This window comes from Homo sapiens, chromosome X (assembly GCF_000001405.40).
Source record: "Homo sapiens chromosome X, GRCh38.p14 Primary Assembly".
NCBI lineage: Eukaryota > Metazoa > Chordata > Mammalia > Primates > Hominidae > Homo > Homo sapiens.
In genome coordinates, this window is record NC_000023.11 from 51,897,177 (window position 1) to 51,916,375 (window position 19,199).

Genomic DNA, 19,199 nt, shown 5'->3' on the forward strand with positions numbered 1-19,199 from the left:
TAAGTTTAATGATTTCCTTTTTCCCTCCCAGGCAAATAAGTTGGTCAAGTACTTGATGCTTAAGGACTACACAAAGGTGCCCATCAAGCGCTCAGGTATGCATCCAGTGTCCCCTCCCCAAGCTCTGCCCTTCCCTTCACTCCATGCTCTGTCAGCATTCTTCTGCTTGTAGCTCTGCCCTTCCCTTCACTCCATGCTCTGTCGGCATTCTTCTGCTTGTATGACCCTTCCCCTTCTATCCCCTCCTTTCCATGGTTGGCTCTTTCCACCCTTGAGGACCTTGACTGTGCTACCCCCAGCAGGGCTGGCAAAGGGACTGCTGCTCTGTGGCCCCCGCTCGGCTCAGATGGCTCCCTCCTCTCTCCTACAGAAATGCTGAGAGATATCATCCGTGAATACACTGATGTTTATCCAGAAATCATTGAACGTGCATGCTTTGTCCTAGAGAAGGTGAGAAGGCAGCCCTGGGGTACAGGAATAATGGGGAAAGTCTTGATTTCAAAGATTCATGGGGTTCCTACTGGGAGTTTAGGGCAAGTCTCAGGGAGATGAGTGTCTGCCTATGGGTAGCTTATGCTAGATGTTGTAATTTCATAGTCTGTTTTCTTGCCCCTGTAGAAATTTGGGATTCAACTGAAAGAAATTGACAAAGAAGAACACCTGTATATTCTCATCAGTACCCCCGAGTCCCTGGCTGGCATACTGGGAACGTAAGATGGGAAAGAAGGTGGAACATGGCCTTTCTCAGTGGTGCTTTTTTTCTAGGAGTTTCACGTAGATCAGGGTCCAGGGTTCAGGGTCACATAGCAGGTCATGGGCAGAGCTGGGGTATAATTCTCCCCTAGCTGAGGAATATTGGGGAGGCTAGATGGGCAAGCTGGTTGGGGTCTCTCATGCAAATGGCTACTGAAAATATATTCTTTCTATATTCCCTTAGGACCAAAGACACACCCAAGCTCGGTCTCCTCTTGGTGATTCTGGGTGTCATCTTCATGAATGGCAACCGTGCCAGTGAGGGTGAGTGGCTGGACCTGCAGCTGGGGGTTGGCCACAGCCTGATTTCCATGCTTATTTTCCGTCCCTTGTCTCCCCTTGCCTCCCATTGCAGCTGTCCTCTGGGAGGCACTACGCAAGATGGGACTGCGTCCTGGGTATGATTGGGCTCTCTCATCTCTTGCCTGTTTGTGCCATCCTTTGGCAACAGTGGATGGTCCCAGGATTGCATTAACCTGGGGGTCTGGAGGGTTTGGTTTGGGGATGTTCAGAGCCCAAAGATGTGACCTGGGTGGATGGGGAAACAGTTCTGAACTCTCTGCCTCTTTTCTCATCTCTGACCTCTGTTCTGGAAAGCTCTTTGGGCATGGTAATAGCCTCTGATTGTGGGTTTCCTTTTTTTACCTTCAGGGTGAGACATCCCCTCCTTGGAGATCTAAGGAAACTTCTCACCTATGAGTTTGTAAAGCAGAAGTAAGTGATGCCTAAGGGGCTTTTCCTGCTTCTTATGATTCTGCCTGTGTGCTGGTCAGCTTTAGAAAGCCCTTCCTGGCTGGATACAATGGCTCATGCCTGTAATCCCAGTACTTTGGGAGGCTCAGGTGGGCAGATCGCTTGAGCCCAGGAGTTCAAGACCAGCCTGGGCAACATAACGAAACCCCATCTCTACAAAAAAATACAAAAATTAGCCAGGCGTGGTGACATGCACCTGTAGTCCCAGCTACTTGGGAGGCTGAGGTAGGGGAGAATCATCTGAGCCCAGGAAGTTGAGGCTGCAGTGAGCTGTGATCATGCCACTGCACTCCAACCTGGGCAACAGAGTGAGACCCTGTCTCAAAAAAAATAAAAGAAAGCCCTTCTCAAGCTCGTTTCTTACACTATACTTGTGCATATGTGTTTCTGTGCATACAGAAACACTTATGTCCTCAGGAGTATTTATTGCATATACTCCTCATGGTTAAATTCTTTATTTTTTATTTTTTTATTTTTTGAGACGGAGTTTCGCTCTTGTTGCCCAGGCTGGAGTGCAATGGCGTGATCTCGGCTCACCGCAACCTCTGCCTCCTGGGTTCAAGCTATTCTCCTGCCTCAGCCTCTTGAGTAGCTGGGATTACAGGCATGTGCCACCACGCCCACCTAATTTTGTCTTCTTAGTAGAGACGGTGTTTCTCCATGTTAGGCTGGTCTCAAACTCCCGACTTCAGGTGATCTGCCTGCCTTGGCCTCCAGAAGTGCTGAGATTACAGGCGTGAGCGACCGTACCGGGCGAATTCTTTTGTTTGTTTTTTTCGAGACTGAGTCTCACTCTGTTGCCCATGCTGGAGTGCAGTGGTGCAATCTTGGCTCGCTTGAACTTCCACCTCCCAGGTTCAAGCAATTCTTGTGCCTCAGCCTCCCGAGTAACTGGAACTTCAGGTGCGTGCCACCGTGCCCGGCTGTTTTTGTATTTTTAGTAGAGATGGGGCTTCACCACGTTGGCCAGGCTGGTCTCAAACTCCTGACCTGAAGCAATCCACCCACCTCTGCCTCCCAAAGTGCTGGGATTACAGGTGTGAGCCACCACACCCGGCCAGAATTTTTCTAATTTTTCTACTTTTCTAAGCAGTTGTCTTGCAAGTGAAGCCCATCCACCATCCCCACAGTAGACATTCCCAAGGCTGGGCCAGGCTGACACTTTTGCACTGCATTGTACTCATTTCAATGGACCTCTGTGGCTCACTGACAAGATTACAAGAATCTGGAGCTAGAGCTGAGGCAGAAGGAGTGAAAGGAAATGTTGTCCTTTCTGTGACCCTATACAAGCCTCGCCTGCATCTCTAGTGAGTGCTTAGCGTTCTAGTGCAGGAATTTAAGGCTTGATGATTAAGGGGTAAATACCCTGATGGTGTTCAGGAATGAGCCCAAGGGGGAGTTGCTATCTGAAATCTGTTAAAAAATGTAAGATTATTTTTCATTAGTGGACTACCATTCTGCCTGGGTAGGTAGACACAAAGACTGTTTTGCTCTTTCAGATACCTGGACTACAGACGAGTGCCCAACAGCAACCCCCCGGAGTATGAGTTCCTCTGGGGCCTCCGTTCCTACCATGAGACTAGCAAGATGAAAGTGCTGAGATTCATTGCAGAGGTAATGGAGGAACTGTTCCAGCATTGATAGGTCAAGGGATGAAGTATAGCTGGCTGGGAAAGGCCCAGGGTAGGAATGAGATCCTAGGTGTGGCAGGTGGTAGGTGCCGCATTGCTGGTGGTATTTGTTGTTGCTGTTAGGTAAACTTAACATGTATTAGGTGCTAACATATGTTAATATATTAGCTAATACAATTATGAGTTTGTTTTGGGTTTTTTTTTAGGTTTTTAAAGTATTTTTATTTTTTCCCAACTTTACTAAATTATAATTGACAAAAATTGTATATATTTGTGGTGTACAATGTAATTTTTAAGTATTTTGTTTTATTTATTTATTTATTTGTTTTCTCCCGAGATGGAGTTTTGCTGTGTTGCCCAGGCTAGAGTGCAGTGGCGCAATCTTGGCTCACTGCAACCTCTGCCTCCCAGGTTAAAGCGATTCTTGTGCCTCAGCCTCCCAAGTATCTGGGATTACAGGCACGTGCCACCACCATGCCTGGCTAAATTTTTATTTTTCTATTAGAGACAGGGTTTTGCCATGTTAGCCAGGCTGGTCTCAAACTCCTGACCTCAAGTGATCTGCCTGCCTCAGCCTCCCAAAGTGTTGGGATTACAGGCGTGAGCCACCGTACCCGGCCCATTCATTTATTTTTAACTGACTAATAAAAAATATACATATTTATGGGGTACAGTATGATGTTTTGATAATACATGTACATTGCAGAATGATTACATCAAGCTAGTTAACTCTCCATAGCCTCATATACTTGACATTTTTTTTGTGATGAGAACATTTAAAATGTACTCTTTTAGCAATTTTAAATAAACGACACATTATTATTAACTATAGTCGTCATGCTATACGGTTGATCTCCAGAACATATTCTTCCTATCTAAATGAAACTTTGTACCTTTTAACCGATATCTCCCTATCCCTCCTGACCCCAGGCCCTGGAAACTACCATTCTACTCTCTGCTTCTATGAGTTAGACGTTTTTAGATTCCATGTATAAGTGAGGTCATGCAGTATTTGTCTTTCTGTGTCTGGCTTATTTCACTTAGCATAATGTCATCCAGCATCATCTATGTTGTTGCAAATGGCAGAATTTCCTTCTTTTTAAAGGCTGAATAGTATTCCATTGTGTGTGTGTGTATCACATTGTCCTTATCCATTCATCCACTGATGGACAGGTAGGTTGATTCCATATCTTGGCTATTGTAAATGGATTTTGTTTTGTTTTCTATTCCTCATCTCAGGTTCAGAAAAGAGACCCTCGTGACTGGACTGCACAGTTCATGGAGGCTGCAGATGAGGCCTTGGATGCTCTGGATGCTGCTGCAGCTGAGGCCGAAGCCCGGGCTGAAGCAAGAACCCGCATGGGAATTGGAGATGAGGCTGTGTCTGGGCCCTGGAGCTGGGATGACATTGAGTTTGAGCTGCTGACCTGGGATGAGGAAGGAGATTTTGGAGATCCCTGGTCCAGAATTCCATTTACCTTCTGGGCCAGATACCACCAGAATGCCCGCTCCAGATTCCCTCAGACCTTTGCCGGTCCCATTATTGGTCCTGGTGGTACAGCCAGTGCCAACTTCGCTGCCAACTTTGGTGCCATTGGTTTCTTCTGGGTTGAGTGAGATGTTGGGTAGGTACATCACTTTGGATTGGGCAGTTAGGGTCTCTGGGGGATATAGGGTCCATGGGGTTGTATTTATGTGCATGAGCTAGAAGTATTAGGAAACTCATTGTAGGGAGATGAGGAAAGTATGGGGCAGCACTCTTTGGTATGTATATTCCTTATTATTTGATATATATCATTGATTTTTTTACTTCTTCTTTCTTATGTTCACAGATATTGCTATCAATCGCAGTAGTCTTTCCCCTGTGTGAGGCTGAAGCCTCAGATTCCTTCTAAACACAGCTATCTAGAGAGCCACATCCTGTTGACTGAAAGTGGCATGCAAGATAAATTTATTTGCTGTTCCTTGTCTACTGCTTTTTTTCCCCTTGTGTGCTGTCAAGTTTTGGTATCAGAAATAAACATTGAAATTGCAAAGTGAATTAGATGTGCTCTCTGCTTCTTTTTTTCCCTATATTTGGGGAGCGAGCAACATGTTTATGTGGGAGAGACAGGACCTCAGCTGTAGTTTGAAGGGTAGATCAGCTTTCAGCAGGTGGAAATGTGGGAAGATCTAGCTACTGGATTGGGATACAAAGGCAGGATCAATGAACACGAGACCCAAGAACTAGTATAGTTTATTCAATAAATATCACTTAAGTGACTCTCATGTGATAGATATGCTGCTAGGTGTCTTGGAGTGACATTGCGAGAAGTCGCATAGTGAGAGAGGGTATTGGTGCTCAGACAGTTGCACTTAAGAACACAGAGGAGGTGGAGCTCCAGGTGATGATAAGGTCCAGAGAGTAGGTAGTTGAAGGGGACAGAAGGTGACTATTCTGGAGATAAGGGGTCCATGGCCTGTGATTCTAGGGTGTTGGTTATACAACCCATGTGGAAAGTGAAAGAACTCCAGGAGGGCAGCAGGAGTAGGAGTAGAGAACACTATGAGTTAGATGCCAGAGTCTCCTCTGTGAGAAGGAAGATATACCCCTAGCCACATTGCTCATAAAGGGATGGGCTCACAGGCACTCCTCCCCATCTCTGGAAATGCTGCCCAGGATCCTGTCCCTCTAGGAGGCCCTCACAATCTTCCCACTTGCACAGGACCGGGGCTGCCTCCTCGAGACAGGATCTTATGGGCAGTGAAGGAGGCCTCACAATGGCCTCTTCTCTCCTGCAGGGAGAAAGAGAAGACTTTGTTACCTCAAGAACAAGAATTACAAAGTAAGACAAAGCTCCATGCACAGGCTTTGACTGTGACTGTGAGCAGGAACTTGGCTTGAGCTGCTGAGTTCTATGCTGGAAGCAAGGCTCTCCCACTGAGGACAAAATTAGGCCTAGGCCATGACTTCCTTGGGTGCTTGGTGGTATCTGGACATGTGGACAAGGGCAGAGACGGGAGCTCCTGGGGCACAAAAAAGAGCAAAGGCAATTTGGCCTCCTGGGAAGGGTTTGGTAGTGGGTAGGGATGGTGTCCACAGCTTCCTTAGGTTCCTGAGTGATGTCCACATTCTGAGGAGAGAGCCCAGGATTAATAGGAAGGAGACAGCAGTGCAGGGCCCCAACGCCTCCCCTGCCTGTTGTCCTCATTGCCAGGCTCCCCTCTTTCAGCCAGGCCTGGATCCTGACCCTCAGGTAGGCCTGGAGGAAATCTCAGCCTGAGGCCTTTTTGGCAGGGATTGCACCAGCCCTGCATCTCCATGATGCCTCAGGTCTGGGCTGTAGTTCCTGCATTTCTGGGTGCTGTTTTTTCCACCTTTTGGTGCAAAACACCCAGGCTCGGTGGGGTTGGGGCAGTCTTTCTGTGGAGAAGGTGCTTCCACCATGTGCTGTGTCCACAGCCAGCTTGGGTAATGGAGTCCCCCACCTACCTCAGGCTTCTCCCGGTGTGTGTTCACGGCCTCCACATTCAGGTGGACGGACTCCACCTTGCAGCCTTGGAAAAGAACAATCCATCTTTCCATAAGTCCCCAAGGTAGGCACAGGTCTTCCATGGGGTATCACCTCCCTCCCATCACCACCCACACTCCCAGCTTCATACTGTGTACAGATCATGACTTGCCTGGGGAATTTAGACAGCTGTGTGATGTGTGGGGAAGACACCAGGCCTAAGAGGCAGCCAACAGGGCATCCTGTCACCTCTGCCCCTAACAGTCTTAGTTCTCTGAGCTTTAGTTGCTCATTTGTAAATGGGGATGGAGATGAGAGATGAACTCTACGGCTGCCCACAGCTCTTGAGGTCCGCAGGACATCAGTCGCATCTGTGTAATATTGATGTAGCTCTGTGGATCCTCCAAGCCGTGTTAGGTGCTGAAGAGGTGCAAGAGTCCTGGGGCTACTGCCTTGGGTGATCAGTACCAGGCAAAGTTTATCAGGAGGACAATGTGGTTGTGGCAACACCAGGAGTGTGGAAGATCACGTGGGAGTTTTAGGGAACCTGAAGAAGGAAGAGGGTGCATCTTTGGGGTTTGGGGCTGCATCTTTGGGGTTTGGGGCTGACAGAGGAGGCCTAATGCCTGTGGAAGCTCTGTGGACTGCACCTTACTCCAGGCTTCAGTAGGCCATTCTGCTCTGTCCACACCCCAGAATAGGTTTGATTCTGTCCCTTCCCTGCTCATGAAATTCTTGTGTAATTTGCACAATTGGCAAAATCAGAACAAAGTCTTTAGATTTAGATTAGACAACAATATTATATTAATGTTAGTGGCCTTATTTTGATTATATTATTTTTTTCTGCAAGAGAGTGTCTTTGTAATTTAGTCTCCAAATATTTATGGAAGTGTGTGTGCGTGTGCACATACATAGAGAGAAGGAGAGACAAAAGACAGGGAGGATAAAACAAATGTGATAAAATGTTAACATTGAAGAATCTAGGTTAAGTGTAGACAGGAATTTTTTTTAACTAGTTTTGCAACATTTTTTGTAAGTCTTCAATTATATCAGAATAAAAATTTAAATTTAAAAAGTACTTTTATTTTTACAAATATTCACTGAAATTCATCTGACTAGCATGTACTACACACACTTCTTTTTTTATCACCAAATGCTCACTTCCTTTTAATTATTATTATTATTTTTAATTAATTTCTATAGGAATTTTTTAAAATTATACTTTAAATTCTAGGGTACATGTGCACAATGTGCAGGTTTCTTACATAGGTATACATATGCCATGTTGGTTTGCTGCACCCATCAACTCGTCATTTACATTAGGTATTTCTCCTTATGCTCTCACTCCCTCAGTCCCCCACCCCCTGACAGGCCCTGGTGTGTGATGTTCCCCGCCCTGTGTCCATGTGTTCTCGTTGTTTAACTCCTACCTATGAGTGAGAACATGCAGTGTTTGGTTTTCTATCCGTGTGATAGTTTGCTGAGAATGATGGTTTCCAGCTTCATCCATGTCCCTGCAAAGGACATGAACTCATCCTTTTTTATGGCTGCATAGTATTCCATGGTACTACACACACTTCTTGACATTGCACCCTTTGGGAAAAGGTCACTGTGCAACATGATGCAGTTATTCTTCATACAAACAAAAGTGCATTCACTCCTTTCCAAAGCAAGAAAACCAAAAGTCTCATAAGCTGTTGCATGCAGATCCAAATCCAGGGATAATTGTTCATCCTAATTTAGCAGGGATTTTGAATAAGGACATGTGGGAAAATATCCAAAAAAGAGGTCTAGGGAAGTGGTATGTGGACTTCTTGGGATTGATCCAAAGCATGAGACTTAGTGTTAAATGTGCATTCTCACCAATAAGCTCTTAGTAATCAGGTGAGCAGTATTACCTACTCATTGGAGGTCAGGAAGACTGTTTTCTCAGCTATTCCTGTGCTTGCTCGATGGGCACCTATACAAAGTCATATGGTGGCATGAACAGAGGCTATGTATGGCCTCAACAAAAGGCGCTCACAAAGGCTGATATGACTACCCCTACTGCTGAGTGTGCAAATTTCCAAAACTATCCTGAGTTTCTGATATGTACCAATCCAAAGAGGACCAGCCCAGTACCTGGCAGTAAATTAATTACATTGGGCCCATTACATCATGGAGGGGTTTGTTGGCTTTATGATTTGTCAGCAATAAGTGAATATTCTAGGTATGGATTTGCCTTCCCTACACACAATATTTCTGTCTTATCACCACCTGTGATCCTACAGAATGCCTCATTCACTGTTGTGAAATTTCAGCGTGGGATGACAAAAAAATATGTGTATATGTTAGCCAAATGAACTGTGGTGAATATTTATCTTGTTGGTATCCTGATTGCACCCATTTTCCTTTTAGGATAATACAGTTTCCAATTGTAGTAAATGGGATTTTAGGATGGCCGACAAGATCCCTACCCTCTGGTGTACATAGACTTTTTGGCAGTTATTCAGTAAAACACTAATCTAGATGCTGTTGTGAAAGGATTTTGTACATGTAATTAACATCCAAAATCAGTTGACCTTAAAATCAGGTGGGCCTGACCTACTCAAGTAAGACTTTAGAGGGTACTGCACTCATCTTGGGAAGAGAGATTTGAAGATTGAGAGGGATTTATGCATGGAAATTCTCCATTCCTAGATTTGAAGATGGAGATGCTACATGGCAAAGAATATGAGTGGCCTCTATGGGATTAATGAGGCCTCCAGCTGATAGCCAGTAAAGAAATGAGGACCTCAGAACTATAGCTGCAAGTACAAGAGTTCTGCCAATAATCTGAATGAGACTGGAAGGCATCAGAAAGAAAGGCAGCCCTGCTGACACCTTGATTTCCATCTTGCTTGAACAGAGAACCTAGCCAAGGCATGCCACACCTTTTGTCCTATAATAACTTGCAGATAATAAATGGATGTTGTTTTAGCCACTCAGTCTGTGGCTGTTTGCTATGCATTAAAAGAAAACCAATATGTAGTCTTTGTGGAATGACATGTCTAGATGTTTTCCTCCCCTTATTGACAAGGAGTAAATCAGATTATTCCTCTCTGGTTCCAATATTGCCACGGGACAGGCATGCAACCTATTCTTAGTCAATTACATGCCCTCTCCTTGGACTTTGAAACTTAAGTGATTGACACAAGAGTGAAAAAAAAGGCTTATGTGATTTTTATCCCCAGAGCAGCATCCTTATCAGACCGTTCCTGTGTTTCATGCTCCTATCCAGTTCTCAAGTTACTTTCTCCAGTCTCCTTCCAGTTCTGTGAGCCTCTGACATCTGTCTAACAAAATCCATTTTATTTACATTGGCAAAGAAAAATTCTTATTGATTGTGACCAATCATGTGGTGAAGCCAGTTTGTACCAGCTTGAGACAGTGTATTGTATGTACCTCGTCCCACCTTTGCCTTCAGTGAAATTGGCCATGGTGGGATTATTAACTTTGTGAAAAATGGCAGACTACCAATTGGGAATTTTTAAAATCAGAGAACTAGTTATTAACCATTTACCAGCACATCATTGCTTGCAAACAAAATCTTAAGTAATGGAATACGTATGGATTACAAAGGGGCTGGACACTGAGCTCTAGGAGGGCAAAGGCAGCAGGGTATTGTGGAAAGAACTTGGATTTCACCATCAGAGAATCCTAGATTCTAATCCCATGTTTCTTCAGTGGTGTGACTTTGAGCAAGTATCTTCGCCTCTCTGAGTCTTAGTGTACTCACCTATGAAAGTAGGTGAGGAAATACACCATTTGGCAAAAACTGAATTTTCATGCACTCCCCTACATTTCCCAGCCAACTTTCTTGTTGTGTTGGGGTCATATGACTATTTCTGGCCAGTGTACAGAAGTGATATCTGCACTTCTAGGATAAGACACCTAAAAGCCCAAATATCTTCAAAATAATGTGTGCCCAGCAGAGTCCTGGGGTAGGTACCCTGAATGGGTGGTTGGATATCCTCGCGGGGGCGAGACTGGTGCAGTAGGATGATAGGGGAAGGACTGGGATGGCCTCTGAACCTGGAGCCTGGCATCAACCTTCCCTGTCTCTGACAGAGCAGTAAGCTGCAAAAGGGCTCACATGTGGGAGGTGATTTTAGTAAGTTTGATTTGGTGTGGAGAGGGGCAGGAGAATGATGCAGAAAGACTGGACTAGAGGGCCCAGAGGGGACCAAAATAACAAGTGTAGGCTGAGGCCAGATTGAAGAAAGGCCTTAAAGACAAGCTTTGGCAGGTTACACTTTCTCCTGGGGCATTAGACACGTACATAATGTCAATTTTTTTCATCGACTGATTTTAGTATCCATTAATTATTCTTCCCTTGTTTAATTATTACCATGTTTATTGTGCAAAAATAACTTTCTATTTCCATGATTCTTTCTCTTTCAGCTTTATTGAGGTACAGTTGACAAAAATTGTGTGTGTATATATATATATATATATATATATATATATATATATATATATATATACAGAGTACAACATGATGTTTTGTTTTGTTTTTGAGATAGTGTTTCACTCTGTCACCCAGGCAGGAGTACATTGGCGCGATCACAGCTCATTGCAGCCTCAACCTCCCAAGCTCAAGCGATATACCTCATATAAACAGAATTACATGATATACCTCATAAACAGAATTATACAGTATTTGTCTTTCTGTAACTTGTTTATTTTACTTAGCATAATGTCTTCAAGGTTCATTCATGTTGTAGCATGTGGCTAATAAAAGTCCATTATTTTTCAAATCTGAATAATAAAACATTTTGTTTATCCATTCATCTGTCAATAGATACTTTGAATTCTCCCACCTGTTAGCTATTGTGAATAGTATTGCTATGAACATGGGTGTGCAAACATGTCTTTGAGACCCCGATTTCAATTCTTTTGGATATATACCCAGAAGTGGAAATACTGAAACATATGGTAGTTCTATTTTTTAGTTTTTGAGGAACAGCCATACTATTTTCCATAGTAGTTGCACAATTTTACAATCCCGCCAGCAGTGCACAAGGGTTCCAATTTCTCCGCATCCCCAGTGACACTTATTTTCTCTCTTTTGATAGCAGCCATCCTAATCGGTATGAGGTAATATCTAATTGTGTTTTTGATTTGCATTTGTCTGATGATCAGCAATGTTTAGCATCTTTCAATATGCTTGCTGGCCATTTGCATATAATCTTTGGGGAAATGTCTGTCTTTTGTCCATTTTACAATTGGGTTACTTGTGTTTTTCTTTTAAGAAATAGGGTCTTGCTCTGTCACCCAGGCTGGAGTGCAGTAGTGCAATCGTAGCTCACTGCAGCCTCAACCTCCTGGGCTCCAGTGATACTCCCACCTCAGCCTCCTGAACAGTGAGGACTACAGGTGAACGCCACCATGTCTGGCTAATTGATTTTTTTTTTTTTTTAGAAACAGGTTCTCACTATTTTGCCCAGGCTGGTCTTGAACTCCTCACCTCAAGTGATCCTCCCGCCTCTGCTGAGATAGGATAACAGGCATGAACCACCGTGCTAAGCAAGTTATTTAATTTTTTGTTGTGGAGAGTATTTTTTATATATTCTGCTTATTAATCCCTTATTAGGTATATACTTTGCAAATATCTTCTCCCATTCTGTATGTTGCCTTTTCACTGTGTTGACTTTGTCCTCTGATACACAAACGTATTTGTTTGATGTAGTCCCATTTGTCTATTTTTTGCTTTTGGTGTCATAACCAGAAATTATTTGCCAAATCCAGTGTCATGAAGATTTTCTATCTTTACTTCTAGGAGTTTTTAAATTTTAGGTCTTACATTTAAATCTCCAAACTATTTTATTAATTTTTATGGTGTAAAAGGTCTATTTTACTTTTTTGCAGATGGATGTCCAGTTTTCCCAGCACCATGTGTTGAAGATTGTCATTTCCCCATTGAGTAATCTTGGCACCCTTGTCAAAGATCATTTAACTACATATATGAGGGTTCATTTCTTGACTCACTATTCTATTTCATTGGTCTATATGTCTATGCCGGTACCATATATATATAATAAATATTATAATATAGAATATATATATACAATATATTATATACAATATATTATTATATATATATTATGGTTTTCAGTGTATAAGTCTTTTTGCTACCTTGGTTGGGTTTATTCCTAAGTATTGTATTCTTTTTCATTGTATTGAAAATGGAATTGTTTTCTTAATTTTCTTTTTGAATTGTTCATTGTTACTGTATAAAATGCAATTTATTTTTGTGTGTTGATTTTAGTATCCTACAAGTTTCCTAGATTTGTTTATTAGAGCTAACAGTTTTTGTGTGTGGAATCTTTAGAGTTTTCAGCATATAAGAAAGATCATGTCATCTGTAAACAGAGATAATTTTACTTCTTCATTTCCAGTATGGATGCTTTTTACTTTTTCTTTTCCTTTTCCTGATTGTTCTGGATAGGACTTTAACACTATGTTGAATAGAAATGGCTGCAGTGGTCATCCTTGTCTTATTCCTTAACTTAAAGGAAAATACTTGGCTCATTAAATTAGTTTGGAAGTGTTTTCTATTCTTATATTATCTGTATCTTATATTGTGTGAAATCAATACTAATTGTTTAAATACTTGATTATATTCTCATGTGAAGCCACCTGGACCTGTAGGTTTCTTTTTATGGAGCATTGAAATTACAAATTATTTTATTTAATAGTTATATACTTCTTTCATCTCAATTGAATTTTGTTATCTTGTAGTATTTAAGGAATTGGTTCATTTCTTCTAAGTTGTAGCTTTTATAAGCATTAAGTTATTTGTCATGTTCCCTATTATCCTTTTAATTCTTGCAGGGTGTGTAGTAATAGTCTTATTTCATTCTTGATATTGGTCATTTATATCTTTTCTGTTTTTATTTTTGTCAGCTTTACTGAAGTTTGATCAATTTTATTGATATTTTCAAAGAACCAGCTTTTGTTGCATTGATGTTCTGTATAATTTTCTTGTATTCAATATTATTGTTTTCTATTCTCGTCTTTATTATTACTTTCCTTCTGCATGTTTTAGGTTCAATTTACTCTTCTTTTTCTAGTTACTTGGAATAGAAACTTAGATCATTGATTTTACGTCTTTCTTCTTTCTAATGTAAGCATGTAGTACTCTAAATTTCCATTTCATCTTTGCTTTATAGTATTCCACACATATTGATATTTTTTGTTTTTATTCTCATTCTGTTCTATGTATTTTTAAAATTTTCTTAGAAACTTCTTTGATTCATGGATTATGTAGAAATATGTTGCTTAATTCACAAGCATCTGTAGATTTTCTGTTGTTTTTCTGTTATTGATTACTATTTTCATTTCTTTATGGATAGAGAACATACTCCGTATGATGTCAATTGTTTTAATGTTGTTGAAGTTTTCCCCATAGTGTATCCTATTGAATGTTCCACTGGTGCTTGAAAAAATGTGTTTTCTGCTGTTGTTAGTTGGAGTGCTCTTTCTATATATATGTGTCAATTATATCATATTGGTTGATTGCATTGCTCATTTCTTTTATGTCCTTCCAGATATACTGTTTAGTAGCTTTATCAATTGCTGGGAGTGCACTGTTGAAGTCCCCTAGTATAAATTTAAATGTGTCTATTTCTTCTTTCTGCTCTATCAGCTTTTCCTTCATATATTTTGAGGCTCTTTTGTTTGATGCATACACATTTAGGATTGTAGTTTCCTGTAAATCGTTGTAAATCTCGGTGATTGACCTTTTATCATTACGCAGTGTCTCTCTGTCTCCAGTAATTTCCTTTGCTCTCAATTCTACTTTATTTGATATTAATATCAATACTCCTGCTTTCATTTTTGTTTTGAGACGGAGTCTTATTCTGTCGTCCATGCTGGAGTGCAGTGGCTCACTGCAACCTCCACCTCCCAGGTTCAAGCGATTCTCCGGCCTCAGCCTCCCAAGTAGCTGGGATTACCACGATGCCCGGCTAGTTTTTTTTTTTTTAATAGAAAAGGGGTTTCTCCATGTTGGCCAGGCTGCTCTTGAGATCCTGATCTCAAGTGATCCATTCGCCTTGGCCTCCCAAAGTGCTGGGATTACAGGCGTGAGCCATTGCGCCCGGCCCCTGCTTTCATTCGTTAATGTTTGCATTATACATCACTTTCCATCCTTCACTTTCATCCTACTATGTCTTTGTATTTTTATTTCTTTTTAAATTGATACATAATAGTTGTACATATTTTGGGGGTACATGTGATATTTTGATACCTGTATACAATGTGTAATAATTAAATCAGGGTAATTGGGATATCTGTCACCAAACATTATGTTGTCTTTATGTTGGGAGCATTGTGATTCTTCTAGCTATTTTGAAATATACAATAAATTATTGTTAACTACAGCTTCTCTACTGTACTATTGAATACTATAACTTATTCCTTCTATCTAACTGTATTTTTGTACCCCTAAAACAATTTCGCTTCATTGCCCCCTTACCTTTTCTGGCCTCTGGTAATTACGGTTCTACTCTCTGCTTCCATGAGATTCACTTTTTAAGCTCCCATTAAATGGGCATGGGAACATGCAGTATTCACTCTTAAATGAATGAGAACATGCAGCATTTGTCTTTCTGTGCCCGGCTTATTTCACTTGAGGTAATGACCTCCAGTTCCATCTATGTTGCTGCAAATGATAAGATTTAATACTTTTTTATGGGTGAATAATATTTCATTGTATACATGTACCACATTTTCTTTATCCATTTATCTGTTGATGGACACTGAAGTTGATTCCATGTCTTGGTTATTGTGAATTGTACCATGATAAACCTGGGAGTGCAGATATCTCTTAAGTATACTTATTTCCTTTCTCTTGGATATATACCCTGCAGTGGAATTTCTGAGTCATATGGAAGTTCTGTTTTTAGTTTTCTGAGGAACTTTTCTATAGTGGCTGTACAAATTTACCTTCTCAGCAACACTGTACCAGTTTTCCCCTTACTCTGCATTCTTACCAGCATTTGTTATTCTTGTCTTTTTTATAATAGCCATTTTAACTGGAGTGAGATGATATCTCATTGTGATTTTGATTTGCATTTTCCTAGTGATTGGGTATTTTCTCTATATCCATTGGTCATTTGTTTGTCTTCTTTTGAGAAATGTCTATTCAGATCTTTTACCCATTTTAAAATTGGATTATTTGTTTTTTTTTTGCTATGAGTTGTTTGAGTTACCCATTGTATTAGTTCGTTTTCATGCTACTGATAAAGACATAACCAAAACTGGGAACAAAAAGAGGATTAATTGGATTTACAGTTCCACATGGCTGGGGAAGCCTCAGAATCATGGTGGGAGGTGAAAGGCACTTCTTATATGTTGGCAGCAAGAGAAAATGAGGAAGAAACAACCTTTGATAAACCCATCAGATCTCGTGAGACTTATTCACTATCACGAGAATAGCACTGGAGAGACCAGCTCCCATGATTCAATCACCTCTCCTTGGGTCCCTCCCATAACACATGGGCATTCTGGGAGATGCAATTCAAGTTGAGATTTGGTGGCGGGACACAGCCAAACCATATCACCTATATATTCTGGTTATTAATCCCTTGTCAGATGAATAGTTTCCAAATATTTTTTCCATTATTCAGGTTGTATCTTCACTTTGTTGATGGTTTCCTCTGTTGTGCAAAAGGTGTTTATCTTGATGTAATCTTATTTGTCTATTTTTACTTTTGCTGCCTATGCTTTTGAGGTCTTAAAAAAATCTTTGACTAGACCAACAGTCTAAAATGTTCCCCCAATGTTTTCTTTTAGTAGTTTTATAGTTTTAGGTCTTAGATTTAAGTATTTAATCCATTTTGAGTTGGTTTGTGTATATGGTGAGAGATAGGGGTCTAGTTTTGTTCTTATACATAAACACATCAAGTTTTCCCAGCATCAATTATTGAAGTGCCTGTCCTTTCTGTAATGTGTATTTTGGTTCCTTTGTCATTTAGGTCTTTTTATCCATTTTGAGTTGAGTTTTGTGTATGGTGTAAGATAACAGTCCAAGTTCATTTTTTTCCTCGTGGAAACCCAGTTTTCCCAGCACCATTTGTTGAAGAGACTATCTTTTCCCCCATTGTGTTCTCTTGGTGCCCTTATCTACAATTAGTTGACCGTATATGTGTGGATTTATTTTGGGACTCTCTATTTTGTTCCACTGTTTTGTATGTGTTTGTTTATGACACTACCATACTGTTTTGATTACTGTAGCTTTGTAATATAATTTTAAATAAGGAAGTGTGATCCCTCCAACTTTATTTTTCTTCCTCAGAATTCCTTTGGCTATTCAGTGTCTTTGTGATTCCACACAAATTTTAGGATTATTTTTCCTATTGCTGGGAGGAATGCCATGGCAATTTTGATAGAGAGTGTATTGAATTTGTATATTGTTTTAGGTAGCATGGGCATTTTAACAATATTATCAGGTTAGTGCAAAACTATTTGTGGTTTTTACTGTAACCAAAAGAAATGGCAAAACCCACAATTACTTTTGCAGCAACCTAATAGTTCTTCCATTTCATGAGAATGGACTATCATTCCATTTATTTGTATCTTCTTCAATTACTCTCCTCAATGTTTTATAGTTTTCCATGTGCAGGTCTTTCATCTCCTTGGTTAAATTTACTCTTAAATGTTTTTTAATGCTACCATAAATGGGATTGTTTTGTATCCTGCAATTTTCCTGAATTGATTTATTAGTTCTAACAGTTTTTTTGTGTGGAATCTTTGAGGTTTTCTATATATAGGATTATGTCATCTGCAAATGGAGATAATTTTACTTTTCTTCTTTCCAACTTGGATACCTTGTATTTCTTTTTTAGCAGAAGTAAGTAATAATGATCAGAACAGAAGTAAATCAAATAGAGAATAGAAAAACAATAAGAAAAAATCAATAAAACTGAGTGATTTTTTTCAAAAAAAGCTAGACTAAGAAGAAAAGGCAGAAGAGTCAAATCAATAAAATCAGAAATGAAAGGGGTCATAAGGGGCTATTATGAACAATACACCTGCAGACTGGATAATTTAGATAAAATGGACAAATTCCTGAAAAAATACAACCTACCAAGGTTGAATCAGGAAGAAATAGAAAGTCTGAACAGAACAATAACAAATAGATTGAAGTGGTATAATAACTTAAAAGCTCCCAGCAAAAAAAAGCCCAGGAACAGATAACTTTATCGTTGAATTCTGCAAAACATTCAAAGAAGAATTAATACAAATACTTCTTCAACTCTTCCAAAAACTAGAGCTAGAGGGACTATTTCCAAACATATTTTATGAGGCCAGCATCACCATGATACCTAAGCCAGACAAAGACACCATAAAAAAAGAAAACTTCAGGCCAATATCTCTGATAAACATTGATACAAAAATTTTCTATAAAATATTAGCAAACCCAAGTTCAACAACACATCAAAAAGATTATACATCATGACTGTTATGATTTGAATGTCTTCTCCAAAACTCATGTTGAAACTCAATCCCCAGTGTGACAATATTGAGAAGTAGAGCCTTTAAGAGGTGAATAGGTAATGAGATCTCTGCCTTCATGAATGGATTAATCCATTTATAGATTAATGGATTAATGAGTTAATGGACTAATGGGTTATCATGGGAATGGAACTGGTGGCTTTATAAGAAGAGAAAGAGACTCAAGCATGCTCTGCCACCTCACCATGTAATGCCCTGAGCCGCCTCGGGACTCTGCAGTGTCCCCAGCAGCAAGAGGGTTCTTACCATTTGTAGTCCCTTGACCTTGGACTTCTCAGCATCCATAAATATAAGAATAAATTCCTTTTTAAAATAAAGTACCCTCTTTTGGATATTCTGTTATAAGCAACAGAAAAGACTAAGATAATGGCCAAATGGAATTTATCCTTGGCATGCAAGCCTGTTTTAAAGTATGCATATGAATCAATGTGATACATTAACAGAATGAAAGATAAAAAGCACACAAAAATCATCTCAATTTACACAGAAAAAGCATTTGACAAAGTTCAACATCCTTCCTTGATAAAAATGCTGAACAGTTTAAGTATAAAAGGAAAGTTTCTCAGCAAAATAAAGGTCATTTATGAAAAACCCACAATTAATATCATAATCAATGGGGAAAAATGAAAAACTTTTCCTGTAAGATCCAGTGCAAGGTAAAGATTCCCACTCTCTCCACTTCTATTCAATATAGTACAGGAAGTACTATGATGTAAATTTCTTGTAGATAGTATACATTGGATTTTTTGAAAATTCATACTGCCAATCTGTTTTTTTGCCAAGTATTTAAAAAAATTTTTTTATAATTAACACATAATAATTATACATGTTTATGGGGTACACTGTGATGTTTCAATACATGTATACATTGTATAATGGTAACATATATTGAAACATGTATACATTGGGTATACATGTATACATGTTTGGGTAATTCACAGATCCATCACCTTAAACATCTATCATTTCTTGGTGATCTAATCTCTTTTTAATTGGTATATTTAAACCATTTTTATTTACAATAACTGTC

General features: G+C 40.1%; 1 protein-coding gene across 6 annotated transcripts in view; it reads left to right on the forward strand.

The window, feature by feature from the left end:
- MAGED1 (MAGE family member D1) overlaps window positions 1-5,178 on the forward strand; it is a 99,279-nt gene extending 94,101 nt beyond the window's left edge. For all 6 annotated transcript variants that reach the window (XM_011530835.3, XM_047442676.1, XM_047442677.1 and 3 more), the window contains 9 exons: window positions 32-95; window positions 371-450; window positions 619-710; window positions 938-1,017; window positions 1,109-1,151; window positions 1,405-1,467; window positions 3,006-3,120; window positions 4,377-4,762; window positions 4,970-5,178. In XM_011530835.3, coding sequence (XP_011529137.1) covers window positions 32-95; window positions 371-450; window positions 619-710; window positions 938-1,017; window positions 1,109-1,151; window positions 1,405-1,467; window positions 3,006-3,120; window positions 4,377-4,754 — 915 coding nt within the window. In that variant the 3' untranslated portion in view covers window positions 4,755-4,762; window positions 4,970-5,178. The remainder of the gene's footprint in view (window positions 1-31; window positions 96-370; window positions 451-618; window positions 711-937; window positions 1,018-1,108; window positions 1,152-1,404; window positions 1,468-3,005; window positions 3,121-4,376; window positions 4,763-4,969) is intronic.